This window comes from Homo sapiens, chromosome 11 (assembly GCF_000001405.40).
Source record: "Homo sapiens chromosome 11, GRCh38.p14 Primary Assembly".
NCBI lineage: Eukaryota > Metazoa > Chordata > Mammalia > Primates > Hominidae > Homo > Homo sapiens.
This window is the reverse complement of record NC_000011.10, coordinates 115,225,781-115,243,747: the sequence shown is the minus strand read 5'-3', so window position 1 is coordinate 115,243,747 and position 17,967 is coordinate 115,225,781. Positions and strand designations below refer to the sequence as shown.

Below are 17,967 nucleotides of genomic sequence, written 5' to 3'. Positions count from 1 at the left end.
ATCAAATTGTGTTTTGTAGCTACCTAATTGTCATGATATCTATTTCAAGGGGAAATTTATCAAGTCACAGTGCACTCTTCTGTTTGGAAGAAATATTTGAGGATGTGAGCAGAAATTATTTTTACATAAAGGCTTCAGGCAGTTAAGAGTACTGACATACATACCGTATTTTCATCACTGTCATTCACTTCCTTTGCCTCAAATAAATAGGTCATTATTATTCCTTTGCAGCCATCTTATGGTGCCTTAAAGTGTGGAGCTCTGTGTAACATAACTGCCGTCCAGCTGACCCATATAATTTATTGGTGATATTTACAGAATGACATCCTTGGGCCACCACCATCAGACAAGGCCCTTTGATATCTTTCAGCAAAATATTTCATGATCACTTATAATTTTTTAGCATTAGTATTATAACCATGTTAACATAGCTAGGAATTGGCATTTTCTGAGACACTGGATTTTAGGTTAGCCTTAGCAATTTTAGAAAATAATACAGTCATGATGATGATACCACCATGGGTTTGCAGAGCGCATTATGTGCCAGAGCACAGCAAGGGCAAACATTTGCAGATGGAAAAATTTTACCTGAATGATTCACTCAGTAGTGACACATTAAAATAGTCTGGCCTTATAGTACTCAATTATAAGTGATTAAGAATGTTTCTAGAAAACAAACAAAACCTCACTCTGTTTTATTGTTGTCATTGCTTAAAAGACAAAATCATGGACAACATGCCTCTTTTCCCATCCCCTATATACATGTTCTGTAGCCTTAATATGAGTGGAGTATTCTACTCTCAGAATATGCTAGCCTTAGGATTTCAATAAAGAGCTAAAATTAAAGCATACAGTTATTTCCACAGGAACTATTCTGTTAAAGCATAATTGAATTGCAACTGGCTTTAAGTCCCAGTGGCTGCAAGATAGTAGTCAGGATTTGTAAGGCCTTGGTTTATGTTGAAAGGATTAATGCCCGTCACCAGGCCTTTCCACATGTACCTTTTGTAAACTGAAGATTATTTATGTTGCTAATATACTTCCTTTGATAGAAGAAATCCCTCCCATAACCCAGTAAGACCGTGTTTGGTATTCTTGTCTACTCAAAGCAAGTCCTATGCCTTAAGACAGTTATAGCCCTTGAATCACACAATTAAATTTTTTCTTAATTTTCTTAGTAGATCGCGCATTACCTGAGGCTGTGAGAGTGGTAGCTTTTCTGTACACACTTTTGCCAGGGCCAGCAAAACCACCTTGAAAACCTCACTTGATTGGTAGAAATTTTCTTCTCCTTTTTCTTTTCTCCAATCTGGGAATAAACTTTCTCCAGCTGGGTTCTGAATTCTGTGTTTGTCACAGTAATGCACTAAGGAAAAAATAAGCATCTGTTCATTTTTTTTTTTTTTTTTTTCTGATCACCTTTTCTCTTTGTTGTTATTCTGTAACACTGTTCGGCATACTAAGCCTCCACTGCTGGATCAAGCTTTCGGGAATTTACCCTCTCACTGCAAGCCCGGTGGGCCTGCATTCTCACACCTGGGTTAATTCCCTGGATCCTAGAGCTCGAGGTTGGGTTTCATTTTGGTCTGCTCCTCAAGCATCAGAAATTTTTGTCTATCTGTGGCTCTAATAATTTTTTTTCCTTATCCTTTTAGTTTCCTCTTTTCTAATCCTCTGCCAGGGGCTGGTCTATTTCTAGGTGGATTTGGCTTAGAGCCATCTTAGCCACCCCTCTCACACTTTCCCAGTGTGTCCTAGCAAAGGAAAAAAAAAAAAAAAGGATCCTTCAACAGAAATATGATAGCAGGTAGAAACCTTCCATTTATTCTAATTGCATCTCTATTTATACTGTCTCAAATTTTCTTTAGATGAGTATTTATCTTTGACCTTTGTTTCTTTATGTGGGAACATTTTTTTAAGGAGCAAATAATCTGCCCCGAGTTGGTGTAAAACAGCTGCATAGGGAGGTCCTTGAGAGCAGGAGCCTTATTCTTGGATCCACACTACTCCCAATGCATAATGGCTTAATAAATCTTTGTATTTGATGTCTAGAGAAATGATGACGATGATGATGATAGCAGCAGCTGCCATTTATTCACTTTTATGAGAAACTAGACACAGTGCTAAATGCTTTATATTTATTATCCTTTTTCATCCCCCCATCAGCCCTGTGAGATAGCTTTTAATTACTATCCCCATTCTTCAGATGGGAAACTGGCTCAGGGACTTTAATTAATTTTCCAGAGATCACACAGCTAAAAAGCAGTCTCTCTCTCTCCCCTTCCCAATTGACCATTACATCTACTGCCTATACCACACTTTTTGTTCTGTAAGTAGGGATAAGGTATCGGTTTTCACCCACGTGGCAGCTTCTTAAAGGCTAGGACAACATATACTTCTGTATCCCCTACTATGCCAGGTGTGACATTGAACACTGGAGAATTACTTCATCCTTTGGTTCTGAGTTGAACTCACTTCTCCTCCTACCTGTACGGTGGATCATTTAGGACATTTATGAGGTGGCCCAGGCTGCCGTCACTAATCTTAGAAGCAACAAACTAGGGCAGATCTGAAGATAATCCTTATATATCAGTGAATCTGAAAGCCTCGACTTTTTGACATGTTCTGAGGGAGATTTTCTAAATGGCTGGCAGGGGGTGGGGGGTGATTTGCAGATAGGGGTGTCAGTTCAGAGATGCCTGGGGCTTTGGGTGAATCATGAAGGTGTGAGTTTCGGAGAGCAGAGTAACAAACTCCGAACCCTAAGCCTTCCCAGGATTTCATCGAGATCCCAAAGAGTCACTCACTCACACACGATGAACTGCCTATACATTGGGACTGTCAACATCAACTAACAAGACGAGATTATTTATTGAACCCTCCTACCTACTTCTATTAAGTGGCTCCTTGAGTTTCTGTGAGGCTGACCAAATAGCTTAGCTCAAGGGCAGGTAAGCTAAAGTTGGCTGTGTCTATCTTCCCTACTCCATTTGTGAGAGATTCAGCATTCACAAAAGCTGGTACTCTGACCTTTCCAATACCTCCTCAATATACTACTCAACTAGTACAAAGTACTAGAGGCTGAAACCTTTTGTACCACAGCTTTTGAGAGTATGATGATTCCAGGCTTAGTTGTATTTTGTCCCTTGATCTGTCTTCGATTAACAGACTCGTTTTGTAGACTACAAAGAAAGGTATTAGAGCCATGCTAAATGTTGCTACTTGTGTTCATTTTCTAATATGCCTAGTTCCCACTTTAATAGATCCCACTGATCACATTTTAATTGATGGAAATTTTCCTCTGACCTTTTCTTCCCTTTTTTTAAGGTGATGGGCAGAATCTGTTTACGAAAGACGTGACAGTGATCGAGGGAGAGGTTGCGACCATCAGTTGCCAAGTCAATAAGAGTGACGACTCTGTGATTCAGCTACTGAATCCCAACAGGCAGACCATTTATTTCAGGGACTTCAGGCGTAAGTTTCCATCTCTATAGTTGTAGATGGCAACTTTTTTACCTACATGTTGTCTTGATAAAGAGATTGCTAAGGCCACCTTTTTTAAATTTAATGTTAGATGCTTAAAGTTTAGTCAGTTCTTTAGAGGGAAGAAGAGACAGGCAATCATAATCTTTCTACTTAATAGAAACCTTGAATGGCCCCTTTTAAAAGTAAGGCAGTCTTACTTTGCAATAGAAATTGATTGTAGTAATTCAAGGTGAATTGCAATCGAGTCCCAAATACTTAGCTGACACAAACAACTCAACAGGGTAAGGCAAGGAAAATACAGCATTCTGAAAGGTAATCCCTTTGGTTTGAAGATTGAAGTTTCCAAGGCAATAAATGCCTATAAGCATAAAACCAAGTCTTCTCTCATCATAGCCTTTGGCATATAGAAGTGTCCACATGCTGAAATCTTTCCAAATGTAATATCACAAAAAACAAAATTGCAATGGACTTGTATAGAATAGAAATGGTTCATATCAGTGTCAGGGCTTAGTAAGAGCAAGAATCAAATCTTTTGAAAAAAAAAAAAACCAAAAACTGTTATTGGAGAGCATCGGTGCCTAACCAAAGCGAAGCATGTCTCTTCCCAGCTGCTTGTCCCCTTCCTCCCCAATACCTCAGGGTCATTCATGACCTGTGGAAAACGTTGATAAACCTAAGGAACATTTAAAAGGTTGAGGAAAGATAAAAGGAAATAAGCCAGCTTCTTTTCTTAAAGTTAATTTTTGTCATATACTAAGTTAGTCTTTGCCAAAATTAAGAAAGGATTTTGAAAGAGAACATTTGAACTAAATAAGAGGCCCACATGTATCAGTTTTGCAGTGATTTTGATTTCCTGCTTAATGCTTAATCAGTTTCATACTGTGAAGCCAAATGTACTTAGGAAACCACAGGACCAGTTTAAGGCCTCCGTAGGCTCGAGGTCATCCACTTTTGGCAGCTCCACCTCAAATCACGTCAAATATGTTAAGGTGCATCCAAGTTGATTAGGTTTATTTTGCTATTAGATTATAAGTTTTTAAAATAATTTTTCATGTTGCTTTTGTAATTAATATGAAGGCTTTTTTAGTTCTGTTTCATAATTTGAAACCCTTGTTTTTTGAAGGCCTTACTTACAATTTTTGAGGCATTTTAAAAGGCTGTAGGCCCTAGTCCCTGAACTTCCAGTGCCCAAAGGCTAGGGGGCCCTGGCACTCCCTGCTTCAGGGGACTCATGACCTGCTTTTTCCCTTTGTTTTCTTTTTGTCTATCTCTAGTATAAAACCTGAAAACATGTATGAGTAAGTGCTGAAAACTGACAGCATTTGGAATTGTGCCAAGTTAGAAGGGTGCGTAGCTGGGTGTGTGTGCATATATATATATGTGTGCATATATATATATATGCACACGCACACATACACACACACTCACACATACACTGATATGTGTAAGTTTCCTTTGGACAAGGTTATTTGTCTACATGAAGTTACTGCAAACACCCAAAATAGTAAGTCAAGAAGTATCAGATACAGCAAGATGTAATAAATAATTAAGGAAAATAGACTGTCCGTCCACCTTCTCACAATCACTAACTCTCTGTTTTGTTTCACAGCTTTGAAGGACAGCAGGTTTCAGTTGCTGAATTTTTCTAGCAGTGAACTCAAAGTATCATTGACAAACGTCTCAATTTCTGATGAAGGAAGATACTTTTGCCAGCTCTATACCGATCCCCCACAGGAAAGTTACACCACCATCACAGTCCTGGGTAAGAAACGCATGTGGGGCTTACCCGGGGAAATGGAATAGAGATGGCCCTTTTACAGCAGCAAGGAAAAGGTTAATGGTGAATTCTCCTGTTCAAACTTGTTTCAGGAAGAATCACCGCCCATCTTGCTGAATTTTAAAAATAGCCTATTTTACCAAATGCTGTAAGGAATGGCAATCAGCAGTCTTTATAGATTCCACCTGCTCTTGGGTTTCAACCCTCAAGCTTCAGAAGCAAAGATCAAGAGAATTTAGAGCCCTCAAATGAATCACTCACCACATGAAATGTTATTACTTCTAACTACCGGGATTTTTTTCTTCCTTGTGTGCAGGAGAAGGGGAGATGGGCTACCAAATCTATACCCCATGGCAGAGCTCAGTTATGAAATCCACGTAATGATTTTTCCTTCTGAGTTACATCCTCGTTTTAATATTGTTGATCTCCTTTTCATTGGCTTGACTTACGGCCTTGTTTATTGCTTATACTCTAGATTATGCTGTAAAAAAATCATACTCCATGAACATATACTTTGCCACAAATTGCAGTCATTGGACATAAAAGAGTTAAGAGCACTTTAACTGGTAATAAGCAAAGAACTGTTGACGGGCTGCTAGGTACACCTCCAGTGAGCTGAGTGTCTTCATTTATGATCACCAGATTGTGAGTTTCAGCAAAATCCTAGTAGCCAGGTTTCCATGTTCAATTTTAATATAGTCAGCAGATATTTCTATGTTGAAGGTGGTCTGAATTAGTCACCTTTAGACAAGCTTACTCTACTGCATAACACCAGCTGATTTGGATTCTTGAAACTGAATTTTCAAGGACATACACTATAGCATGAGGCAAGATCTCTGATTTACACCTTCGGGAAGATGATGAATCAAAGTCTATTTGAGGCGGCAGACTGCAGCTTTTCAGTGTAATGATAGGAAGATTAAAGAGGAAAGATAAATATGAAGGACATTTTTGCTTGGTATGTGTGCACATATATGTATTTATGGATGTACATATTGAGCTGCTGCCTCATTACTTTACTTCAACACAGCTGTAGAAGGGAAATTTTTTTTATTCATTAAGCTAAAACATAACCCTAATGCTCACATATATGTTTTTGACAAGAGGAGTATCAATTTTAGAAAGATGTGTTTAAAACCAGTCCATACAATTTCTAATCTGGTCTGTGTTTAATGATAGATGGCTTTCACGTATTCATATTTGTCACTATTGTGGTTTTACTCCAGATTAGACCTGTAGAAATAGTAAGCATGGGAGGTTTTAGTGGGATGACTATTTTGGTATTTTGCAGATGTACCAAATTCGCAAGCATAAATTTGAAGTTTTCTGTCTGTCTGCTTGTATCAGAGTATTTGAAAATGCTCTTTGCTTATTGGAGTAAGTCATTAGCAGCATAGACTTCAAATTGACTATCCACTCATCCACCCTTTGACTCATCATCGTTTATGGCATTTCCACAAAAGTGACAGTCATAAAATAAAATCTATTTATGGCATTTTGAATTTTCAGAGTATTTTACTACATATACCTTTACGTATTTATATGTTGTTTTCACAGAAGTAAAATGATAATAACAGATGTTAGACATCTTGCCCAGGTTACAAAGCACTCAGTAAGAACCAAAAATCTTAGAATTCAGAATAAATCTTACAATTCTGTCTTAAAATTACAACCTTTGTGTCTTCCAGTCTAGGTTGTTTTCAGTTAAATACCGAATGCTTTTGTTTTAAATTTTTTTTTTTCCTAAAGGCACACATCTTTTGTTTTCAGGAGTATGTCTAGCCATTGGCAAGCAGTTACTACTGCCTGTCATTTTCTGGTGCCTGATACATTTATTCTCAAAACAACTGCTTTGGATCAGTTTGGCTCCGAATACACCATGTGCTTGGGAGCCAGTGTGCCAGCACTAGAATTTTGAGAGGCATTATGCCTGTAATCCTTTTGGAGGTCTGATTATTCTAGAAGTAATAGGTTCCTACTTGTATTTTATAGAAGTATTAACTTAAATATACTTGAAAGTAGCACTTTCAAGTATAAAAAGTAGTAGATATTCTTTCTGTAGATATTATTCATTCACTTAATATTCTTTCCATTTAATTTACTCTAGGATTCCTTGACAGAGTAAAATTGTTGTCATCAGTGTTTGAGTCCTTCATTTTCCAAAATCTGACAATTTCCACTGATACTCGTATATTCCAACGTTTCTCGTAAGGTTTAGAGTTTTCAGATATTACAATGAATGAAGAATGACAGTAGCATCTTCGTTGCTATCTTCAGTTCTCTGAAAAGGACTCCATGCGTACTTACACAGCTGTCAAACTTCTTGATAGGTTGAAGATGCTCATTTTAGTGCATGTGTCTATTAGTTATTTGATACATTCAGTAAAAACTTCAGCATAATTATAAGATATGGAGGCGGGTACTTGTTAATGTTGTCTATGCTATTCTATAGTTACTATTATGCTCATGATCTTATCCATGTAAAATCTGAAGACTCTCCTATGATATTTTGTATGCATTTGTTGCCTTTAAGGATATTCATTCATTCCTTCCACTTGTGACGATTTTGTTTCTTTCTCCAGAACATACCGTAGGACTCTCTTTATACTACTATTCATAAGAGGAGATGAATGAGACAGAGAATACACTTCTTTAAGATTAATATAGTTACTGGTAATAGTAGCTAATATTATCACAGTCCTGTCCTTCTAAGATTAGTGTTCGTTCTTAAGATTCCAGGAACAGGAGAACCTAATTATTTTAAAGGGTCTTAGAGTGAGATTTCACATACTGGATCAGCTTTAAGACTCCTCTTTTGTTGTAATTAATGTGACTCATCTTGATATTGCTGATTTTTGTTAAATGTTGTAGGCGTAATGTTTATAATTAGCACTCTTATAGATTTGAGGTTAGCTGAGAAGAACCTTGACATTTCATTACTGTTTTCTAGTATTTCCCTCTATGTGATTTTCATTCAGGTTTTCATCTATATGCACCTCCTTAGAAATATCTTTGGTTATTTTCATTAATGGCTGCAGGCAGTTTTTACTAAATGTGCCTGTTTAGTGGACCATGCATAAGTATATTCTCTGGTTAGCAGCAGTTTTAATTCATTTTTCTTATAAATGGATTTTTATACTTTACTAACCTTTTGTATTAGAGTAGACATTGTGAAGCTAAAGGAAAAACAGGATAGAATTAATAGACCAAATAAGTTTTAAGATTTTCTTGTCCAACCCTTTTTTTTTCAGAAAAGCAGATTTAAATCACCTCATTTATATTTTTGAAAGCTTTCTTGCTCTTAAAAAAAAAAAACTGAGCAAAGTCAGCTTTGTAACATATCAATAAACTATTATGATTCACAATATCAGATTTTATTTTATAAACCAAACAACTCCCAGTATACATGCCTGTTTCTTCTTCTAACCTTAGCTAAGATCAGAAATACTGGTCACAATCTTGAGAAAACTATTTATGGGCTTGGAAAAAAAAATCATTCAGTGATTTCACAGGATGGTGATCTCAACAATGAATAAGCCCTTCATTTTTCTACACTGGGCAAATTTTTTTTTTTTTTTTTTTTTTTTTTTTGGAGACGGAGTCTCCCTGTGTCGCCCAGGCTGGAGTGCAATGGCGTGATCTTGACTCACTTCAACCTCCGCCTCCTGAGTTCAAGTGATTTTCCTCCCTCAGCCTGCTGAGTAGCTGGAACTACAAGTGCCCGCCACCTCACCTGGCTAATTTTTGTATTTTTGGTAGAGACAGGGTTTCACCATGTTGGCCAGGCTGGTCTCAAACTCCTGACCCCAGGTGATCCACCCACCTCAGCCTCCCAAAGTGCTGGCATTACAGGCGTGAGCCACTTCAAACCTGGGCACATTTTCTAATGCTTCTGAAGTTTTCCACATTTTTACCTTAGCCTTAAATTTGAAGATGATGTCAGCTCTTTGGGCATATAATCCTAGGAACTAGCACTGGTTCAGGACTCACTCTGAAGAGTTACAGAGTAGAATTTATCTGTTGCAGTTGTTTGGATAATGCCAAACAACAAATAATCCAGATGGGGACCTAGCTGCCTGTCAGGATCTCAGCCCCCAAACGAAATCTGGAGGAGACATTGGTGAATTTTCCTCGATCCTTATCTGTACCTGTCCCTTTTCATTTCCTTACTTTGGACCAGCAGACGTTATTGATAATGTGGAAGGAACACACCCTCATCTTTATGAACCAAATGGAGGCAATAAAGACTTTCCACTGAGAAATATCATTGAAGATGAACGAGGTAGTGAAGGTTAGGAGAAGCTTGGGGTAAACAGAGACAAGGGGTTTCCAGGCTCAGCCTGAAAACTCAGAGAATAAAGGAAAGGTATCCAGGAACACAGGAAACAACCATCTGAGTATGTTTGAGGGTAAATTCCACTAAGACTCAACAGAGATACATAGAGGAGTCTTTTAACAACTGCTGGACTGTCGCATCAAGAAGATTCCCGTGTTTCCACAGAGGGAGCATCAAAGTGTTTCTCCCAAAGTTATACAGATAAAGTGGGATCTGATCTGGTCCATTCCCTAGGGATTTCCCGGGTTGCCAGTGGCTTTAGCCATTTGCCCTCTTTGTCACATACTAAGAGAGCCACCTTCCTAAGTTCCTATCCCATCAGTTACATTGCTCCATTACAGTTCTCATTAGGAACCACTGCATATTTCAACATGAAAAATTATTTTCATCACTCCTATTTTTTCCTGGACCTTGAAAGGTATTTTTTTTTTTTACTTTCATTCCTTCCTTAGTTGAGAAGACACTCCTATATTTGTTACACCTTAGTTGTTTTCATTTTTTCTTATACCACTCTTTAAGGTCTTATTTTCTTTAGGCTTTTCCTCTGACATTTGATCTAACAATAGCATGTAAAAAATATTCCTATAATACTGCACTCAGAATGCAGTAGTATTTATTAGTCCTAAACATCTAGTCTCTCTGTGTATCCCCTATCAACCATCTAGGTATGTATGATGAAAATCTATAACCTACGTGACTGTCATCTAGCATGGATGAACTATGTGAAAGATACAGCTAGTTGAAGTCATTCCATTTCTTTTGTTAAAGCCTTTCTGTGTCTCATAAAATGCTAGCAGATGTGAAACTCTAAATTAGATGTTAAATTATCTTTTTGTTTATTTTTTCTTAAAATGTAGACTAGGGTAGTTCTTTGCCATGTTTAACTACTCATTTGGGCCATATCATATTAGCAACACATCCATTTGAGCAATGTTGTTTTCCTTGTACACGGGAAACAAAGAAGAGGGATCCTTTGGCTCTGCTCATTACACCCCCCGCCACCACCACCACCAAACACTATCTTGCTAAGGAAGTATGTGCAACAAATCATTTTACTTTTACTTTTCTATCATTCTCTATAGGAATTTTCAACTGCTCCAATTCAGTGTAAAAGTCTTCCTTTGGGCAGAATTTTCACATTGTGGACTAGAACAGTTGGAAATCCCAAATACTTGGTTTAATACCATAATTTATTGAAGCAGTATCAGAGATTTATTATTCAACTTGATCATCAGGATGGCATGTTTATACATATTTAATTTCTTGTTTCTCTTCTGAGTTGAGAAACTTATTAATCATAAGTCTCGGAACTGTCTTTGCTTATTCATGGTGGTCAGGACATATATTCTTAGATTCACTGTACTAAATTCAGTATTCTTACTGATTTTTATTTCAACAGGCTCAGTCCTGAGGTAAGGTTGCATATGAAATTTTACTGTCAACTCAGTTTCATAAAAGATAACATATTTTATCATCATCATCATTGTCACCATCACTATCACTATCACACTACATACTCTTGATTTGATAGTCAGTACTTTAACTTCCCAATCCGTTATTTTGACCATTTTATCACATATATGTTTAATATGCTTACAGAAGGGTGGTTGTAATTCTGATATGTAAATCTACTTATAAGCACTTAAGAGTCTCTTTCGTCTTTGGTTTCCAAAATTGGAGCACTGGAATTCAGAATATGGAAAATTGCTGCAAACTAATTGGCATTTCTTATATTACTGCATCTTCATATCCAAAGGACTTTATTACTACATTATCCATCAGAGGTTATGATTACATTCTGGATCTCTGTGAATTATTTGATTACATGGAACTGGTTTGAGACAATTTTTCTGTGCATTTTATGGTGAGTGATTCTTTTAAGGGACTCAAAGATTTTTATCTTTGCTCCGTTGACTTTGGAATCTTTCATTTGAAGATTGAAATTCAAGAGTTGAGTTCAAGGAGAAATACTGCTTTCTGGGGTTTCCTGGTAAGGATGATCATTTCAATAGCATGTACTCCCCTTTTATATCTACTTTCTGGTTAATTTTTGAATGACTGGTGACTAATATCTATATTGATATAATGTGCTCAGTGATAAGAGTGAGACATTGGTTGTTGTTGTTGTTGTTGTTATTATTATTATTATTATTATTATTATTGAGACGGAGTTTCGCTCTTGTTGCCCAGGCTGGCATGCAATGGCACGATCTCGGCTCACTGTAACCTCCGCCTCCCAGGTTCAAGCGATTCTCCTGCCTCAGCCTCCCAAGTAGCTGGGATTACAGGCATGTGCCGCCGTGCCCGGATAATTTTGTATTTTTAATAGAGATGGGGTTTCTCCATGTTGGTCAGGCTGATATCAAACTCCTGACCTCAGGTAATCTGCCCGCCTCGGCCTCCCAAAGTTCTGGGATTACAAATGTGAGCCATCATGCCCAGCCACACTGGTTATTTTATAACATAAATTTAGGATAGAAATTCTAAATTAACTGATTTTGCATAACTCACTTTATTTGATGATTACTTTGTATTTCTTTTTCGCCTCTTGTGATGATTTAAATTCCCATCAGGAATGTCTACTGTTTTTCTCCTTTTTGATAGCAACAATGCAAAAATGCATTCTGTGTTTATAAAGCACATATGTTTAATTTGTAGTCCCACCACGTAATCTGATGATCGATATCCAGAAAGACACTGCGGTGGAAGGTGAGGAGATTGAAGTCAACTGCACTGCTATGGCCAGCAAGCCAGCCACGACTATCAGGTGGTTCAAAGGGAACACAGAGCTAAAAGGTAAGCTGCAGATTGCCACACACTGAAGTAGTTAGCTGATTCTAGCAGATATGCCTTTGTGAAAATCATGGAGAAATACAAAACATGCCCATGAAACAAAAGTATTCATTTAGATATGGTTTATAATCAGTTACTAAATATGTCTGAGGCCAAAGCATAAAAGCATTTTATTCTTCTAATCCATGTCCTCATTCTGCTGTTTGAGGGTTCATGGTGATAGCTGTCGCTCTACTCAGATGCCCAGAAAGAACTAAAACTGTAAACTAGAACTCTTTAGGCTAGGAAAAATTTTCATGAGGGCTGTCTCCTGAGCTCAGGCTGTCTCTGTCTGTACCTTCAATTCTAATTGCTTTTACCCTGTCTTTTGCAGAGACCTAGAGGGGACCAGAAGCCCACATTTTCAGGGTATACATTTAAAAAAATGTTTAACAGTCTTTCATATGGTAAATTCCAAGTCATTCTGACGTCTATTGCACTATCACCTGTGTTGACTATATGCTTTCCTGCAAGAGTGGTTGCACTAAGTGGACTAACAGTTTCATCTAAATTGTGAATTTACAGGGACCACCTTTCTTGTGAAATTTGTGATTCAGTTGCCCAATTCACCAGTCTGTTCTTATGCAGGCTGTGATTTTGTGATGACAGTACAAGGCAGCTCCTTCAGCCCCATTCTGATCATCTTTACCTCTGTACTGGGCCATCCCGGGTTCGGGTCCTGGATCCTCAAATACCTGGCACCTCAGGTGTTGCATCAGATAAAGGAGACAGCCTATACCCTATTTGACCATTTTTTGCCAGTTATCTTAAATTCCGCATGTATTTCTGCATTGAGATTCCTTCCTTTTCAAAGTTACCCTGCAGGTAGTACCCTGCACAAAGGTCTTAGGGGCTGAACTCCTCTAATTGTTTGACAGAAATGCTAGTGGCATGCTTCAGTTTCCTCTAAAATAGGGTTAATCGTATTACATACTTTATGGAATTTTTATGAAGATGAAAAGAGGGAATAGTTGTAAAGTATTTAGCTAATACTTGGGCCAAAGTAAGTGCTGTATATGTGCTTGTTAAATAAATAAAGAGCGTGAGAAATGAAAGAATCAGCCCTTTTAGAAAGAGGATATAGAAATCTATATCTGGAAGCAGATAAATCTATATATAACAGCTTAAGTTTCAAGAAGCTTGTTCTGTTTTAATCTCCTACTTCCTAGGTATGGTTTTGGAAGGAAGGAGTTTCTCATTTCCTCTCTGCTTTTCTGTCTAAGTGAATTCAGCCATTAAATGTGTACCGATAAGTACAAAACATTAAAAGAAAGTTAATGGTGTGCCATGTTCCTGGGAGTGCTGAGTTCAGGAAGGGACTGCCTTGGCCTATTCATTCCATCCGGAAGCCTCCTCCCTCCTTTTCTGGGTGTTCTTGGATGTGTCTCCCATCTGGCCCCAAGCCCTGTATCTTACTTTGCTCTAGCCCACTGCCACTGCATTTTTGAGGTCTTCCAAAAGTCTCAGAGTTTAAACATTTCAATTACAATTTCAATTATGTAAATCCATTTAGTTACTTTCTCTCTTAATTGTTGATGATGGGAGTAGGCAAAGGGGGTTGTTTGTAACTCTACTGCTTGTTGAATTACTTAGGGGATTTGGATAATATCCTAGAATTTCTAAATGGCATGACAGCCTAGTCAATATTTCAAGTTCAGATGGTTGTAGGGGTGAAAAACATTTTTCTTTTTCTCCTCCTGAATACCTTGAGCAGCCAGATGTCAGAATGTTTCAACTTTCAGCTGTCTTTTTCTGGGAGGTTTTAAGATAGAAAAACCATACATAATATATTTCAGTAAAAATAGTGTATGGTATTTGGACTTGAAATATATCTTAAATACTATGCTGCCTGGTTGAAAAGTCATAAATTAAGGAAATAAAAACTTTATCAGGTAACTATCCACAGGTTACTCTCATCCCAAGTAACTGCCATCATATTTGTTAAAATAGCAATGTTGGGGTTAGAGGACAGAGGGGAGGACATAAAAACAAACTGATGGAAATTCACCCAACTCTGGTGTCTTGGTACATTTTCTGTTCCCCAGGCAAATCGGAGGTGGAAGAGTGGTCAGACATGTACACTGTGACCAGTCAGCTGATGCTGAAGGTGCACAAGGAGGACGATGGGGTCCCAGTGATCTGCCAGGTGGAGCACCCTGCGGTCACTGGAAACCTGCAGACCCAGCGGTATCTAGAAGTACAGTGTGAGTACCCTGGTATCTTATTCTGAGGGCGTAGAGTTGCAGTTACATAGAAACTCTTCAGAAGCCATTTATTCAATGCATTCATTTTATATAGTATACATAGAATTCTTATTTTTGCTAGAAAAATAAAGGATTATTTTATTGAAATATTGTACTGCCATATTACAGAGTGCCAATGAGGATTTGAAAATGCTACATTGAACCCAAAGGTAAAACTGAAATAATATCAATCTGCTCTAACACGTGACTTAATTAATTTCTTTGCATATAGACTGTCATCATTTCTATGCCAACTGCAAAATCTAGGGTAATTTTCCCCCTTTTTTTATCCCATCATAAGTACTGAAGTTTTTATAGAAGGGATTTTTTTCCCATTTACGTCGGCATTTTGTTTTAAATGACATTCCTCCTCTATTTTAGCTTAAATTAGAGCAATGAGTTGAAAAGTCGACTCTTTGGGATCATTGCCACAATCTTGATGGCTTCATCAATAAAAGCTAGATTGTAGTGAGTGAGGTTTTCTCCTTACCATGCCCTGTAGACTGAATATGTTTTCCTCATCTTCTCCTCTGGACCCTTCTGCTTAAAAGGAAAAAGTCTTTTTCTGCACAAAGCCATTCTTATGCCAAGGTTGTGGCTAAGTAGCCAGCTTCTCACTTTGTATTTGGCTTCTGAAAAATCAAGGTGATCTTTGAGTATGCATACTGAAATGTTACCAGAGTTTGGTTGGGATGGTAGTGATTGGATGTCTGATAAAGGAAAAGCTTTACCCTTTGTGAATCATTGGATTAATTTCCTAGGGCTGCCATAACAAATTGTCACAAACTTGGTAGCTTAAAATAGCAGAAACTTCTTTCCTTACAACGCTTTAGGCCAGAAGTCCAAAATCAAGGTTTTGGCAGGACCACACCCCCTCCCACCACAAAGACTGTAGGGATGGATCGTTCATTGATTTTTCCAGCTCTAGGAGTCCCAGGAGCGCCTTAACTTGTGGCTTCACCACTCCACTCTCTGCCTTCATCGTCACATGACCTTCCCCTCTCCTCTGTGGGTCTCTCGTCTGTGTGTTTTTCTGAGGACACTTGTCATTGGATGTAGGGCTCACCCAGATAATCCAGAATGGCCTCATCTTGAGATCCTTAAGCTGATTTCATCTGTAAAGACTTTTTTTCCAAATTCAGCTACAGTCACAGATTCCAAGGGTTAGAACATGGACTTATCTTTGGGAGCCACCATTCAACTCCATACAAGCCCTATTATTTGTCTAAATGATCTGAGCAAAATGGGAAGGCAGGAAAAGTTATAAAAAGTTGCTTCTAAGAAACCATCCCATTCCAACCTTTTCTTAACTCCGTGAGCTTGGCTCAATTTAACATTACATAATGCAGGGTTTCCTCGTTAATTCATTTAATCTGCTTCAATATGGGCATCATGCTTATAATTTTCATATCACTAAAACTATTGTGGTATAATGTCCCTATAATGGGAAAACGGAAATGATCAGATATTATCTAAATTAGCAGATAGTAGATTTCTTGTGACTTTGTTAATATGTAATTCATTTAAGCAAACTTAATATCCATTAACTTTCCTTGTAGGGGCCCATTAGCTTTAATAATACATTAGCTCCTTTGTACGTCCTGAGTAGATATTCACCCAGTTTCCACCCCTAAACTCTTTCAGTATTTTCCCAGAATATCTTTTAAATAGAATATAGTCCCACCCACCTACCAAATTACCCTCACTCCCAAATGCAAAATATTTCAAGCGCTACACCTCCTACTCCTTGGAAAACTTGATAATGATCCTTATAAGCCTTGGTTTCCATAATCTGTAGATTCTAAGACAAGGAATAAGGCTCCACATCTGAATCCATTTGACTTCAATCTAACAAAGTACTGCGAGCCTTTAATTGCAGGAAAGTGACTCTAATGCCCTCCAAAAACAAGGATGCACCAATTGATACTTTAAACTCTAATATGGCACCTTTTTGTGGGAGACTCTGTTTTTTATCCAAGAAAATCATACAAATATTTTAGCCTTTATTCCACTTTTCAGAATATACATAAGGAAAAATATTTTTGTATAAAGGAAAGCTAAGATAATTACAATGCATTATATTAACCTGAATGGAACTTCGCATCTGGTTTGATATCTTAAGTAAGGCTCTCTGTGCTCAAGAAAGTTCACTACCCTCCACTCCTAGAGCACTATTGAGAACTTTGCAGAGTCAGCCAGGAATTCCTTTTGTAGCTTCTTCAAACACAGTTGGAATTCTCTACATCATTTCCTACCAGCTTTACTCTCCTTGAACACTAGCAGCTATGCAGTAACAAAAAGTTTCATTCCTCAAATGCCTGAAGCACTCAGTCACTGGGCCCTGAAGTCTGATCAGTCATTGCCCAGTGCTGTTGATGGCTCAACTCCAGTGCCCCCCACAGCCGTCCTCTCTCTGCAGACAAGTAGCACCATATTTTGATGACCATGAGGAAAGAAGAGACACTCGAATACATGAGATTCCTAGAATAATTTATTCAGTAGCCACTCTGCATGGAGGTTGAATTATTTTGGATGCCTGTGAGGAGTAACATTGCACCTGTATTTTAATGTTGACTCATGCCGTTGAAGTCAGCAGTTCTTAACCTTTTGGGGATCATTGGCCCCTTTAAAAACCCTTTGATAGCTATAGACCTGGAAAAGATGAATACAATCACATATTCACCATATTCTACTTACAATCTAAGGAGTCCATTTACCCCTCAGGGTTTTCCTAAATTCAGTTATTTGAGGACCACTTTCACAAATTTGCCATGTTCATGCATCATCTGTATTTTTACCTGATTTAGAATTTTTCTTTAAGTCACTTTATTGCTTTATCCTAACCAGGGCCTATGTAAAAATATCTATTAAATTACACATTTCATTTGTTATATATAGTGTCTAATAAGCTTTAAAATAAATGTACAACTAATATTTTTCAATGTCCTTTCCTTTGTCACCTAAAAAGATTTCTTATGTTCTCGGTGAGAAACAATAGGTTATCACTAGGAAATACTGATCCCATTCATGGACCTCAGAGTCTACTCCGAGTAAATAAGGCTACCTTGGGGGCAAATCTAATCTGATACTATTGGTATTAAATATGCTCACTTGTTTAAGCCTGGCTGATTTTACACCATGAAGGTTTATGGAAACCTCTCTTTATCCCCATCTAAGATGAATGGATGTTAACCAGGACATGAATAGGGTTAAATGACAGATCATGGATTTGAATTCTACATCAAGTAATTTTTAAAAAATACTATTAAAAAGGAAATGAAATAATGAAAACC

General features: G+C 37.7%; 1 protein-coding gene across 13 annotated transcripts in view; it reads left to right on the top strand.

Annotated features, from left to right (window-relative positions):
• The window catches only part of CADM1 (cell adhesion molecule 1), a 335,180-nt gene that overhangs the window by 260,668 nt on the left and 56,545 nt on the right, over positions 1–17,967 (top strand). For all 13 annotated transcript variants that reach the window (NM_001098517.2, XM_005271494.4, NM_001301045.2 and 10 more), the window contains exons 2-5: positions 3,328–3,474; positions 5,096–5,248; positions 12,258–12,395; positions 14,477–14,635. In NM_001098517.2, the coding sequence (NP_001091987.1) occupies positions 3,328–3,474; positions 5,096–5,248; positions 12,258–12,395; positions 14,477–14,635 (597 nt within the window). The remainder of the gene's footprint in view (positions 1–3,327; positions 3,475–5,095; positions 5,249–12,257; positions 12,396–14,476; positions 14,636–17,967) is intronic.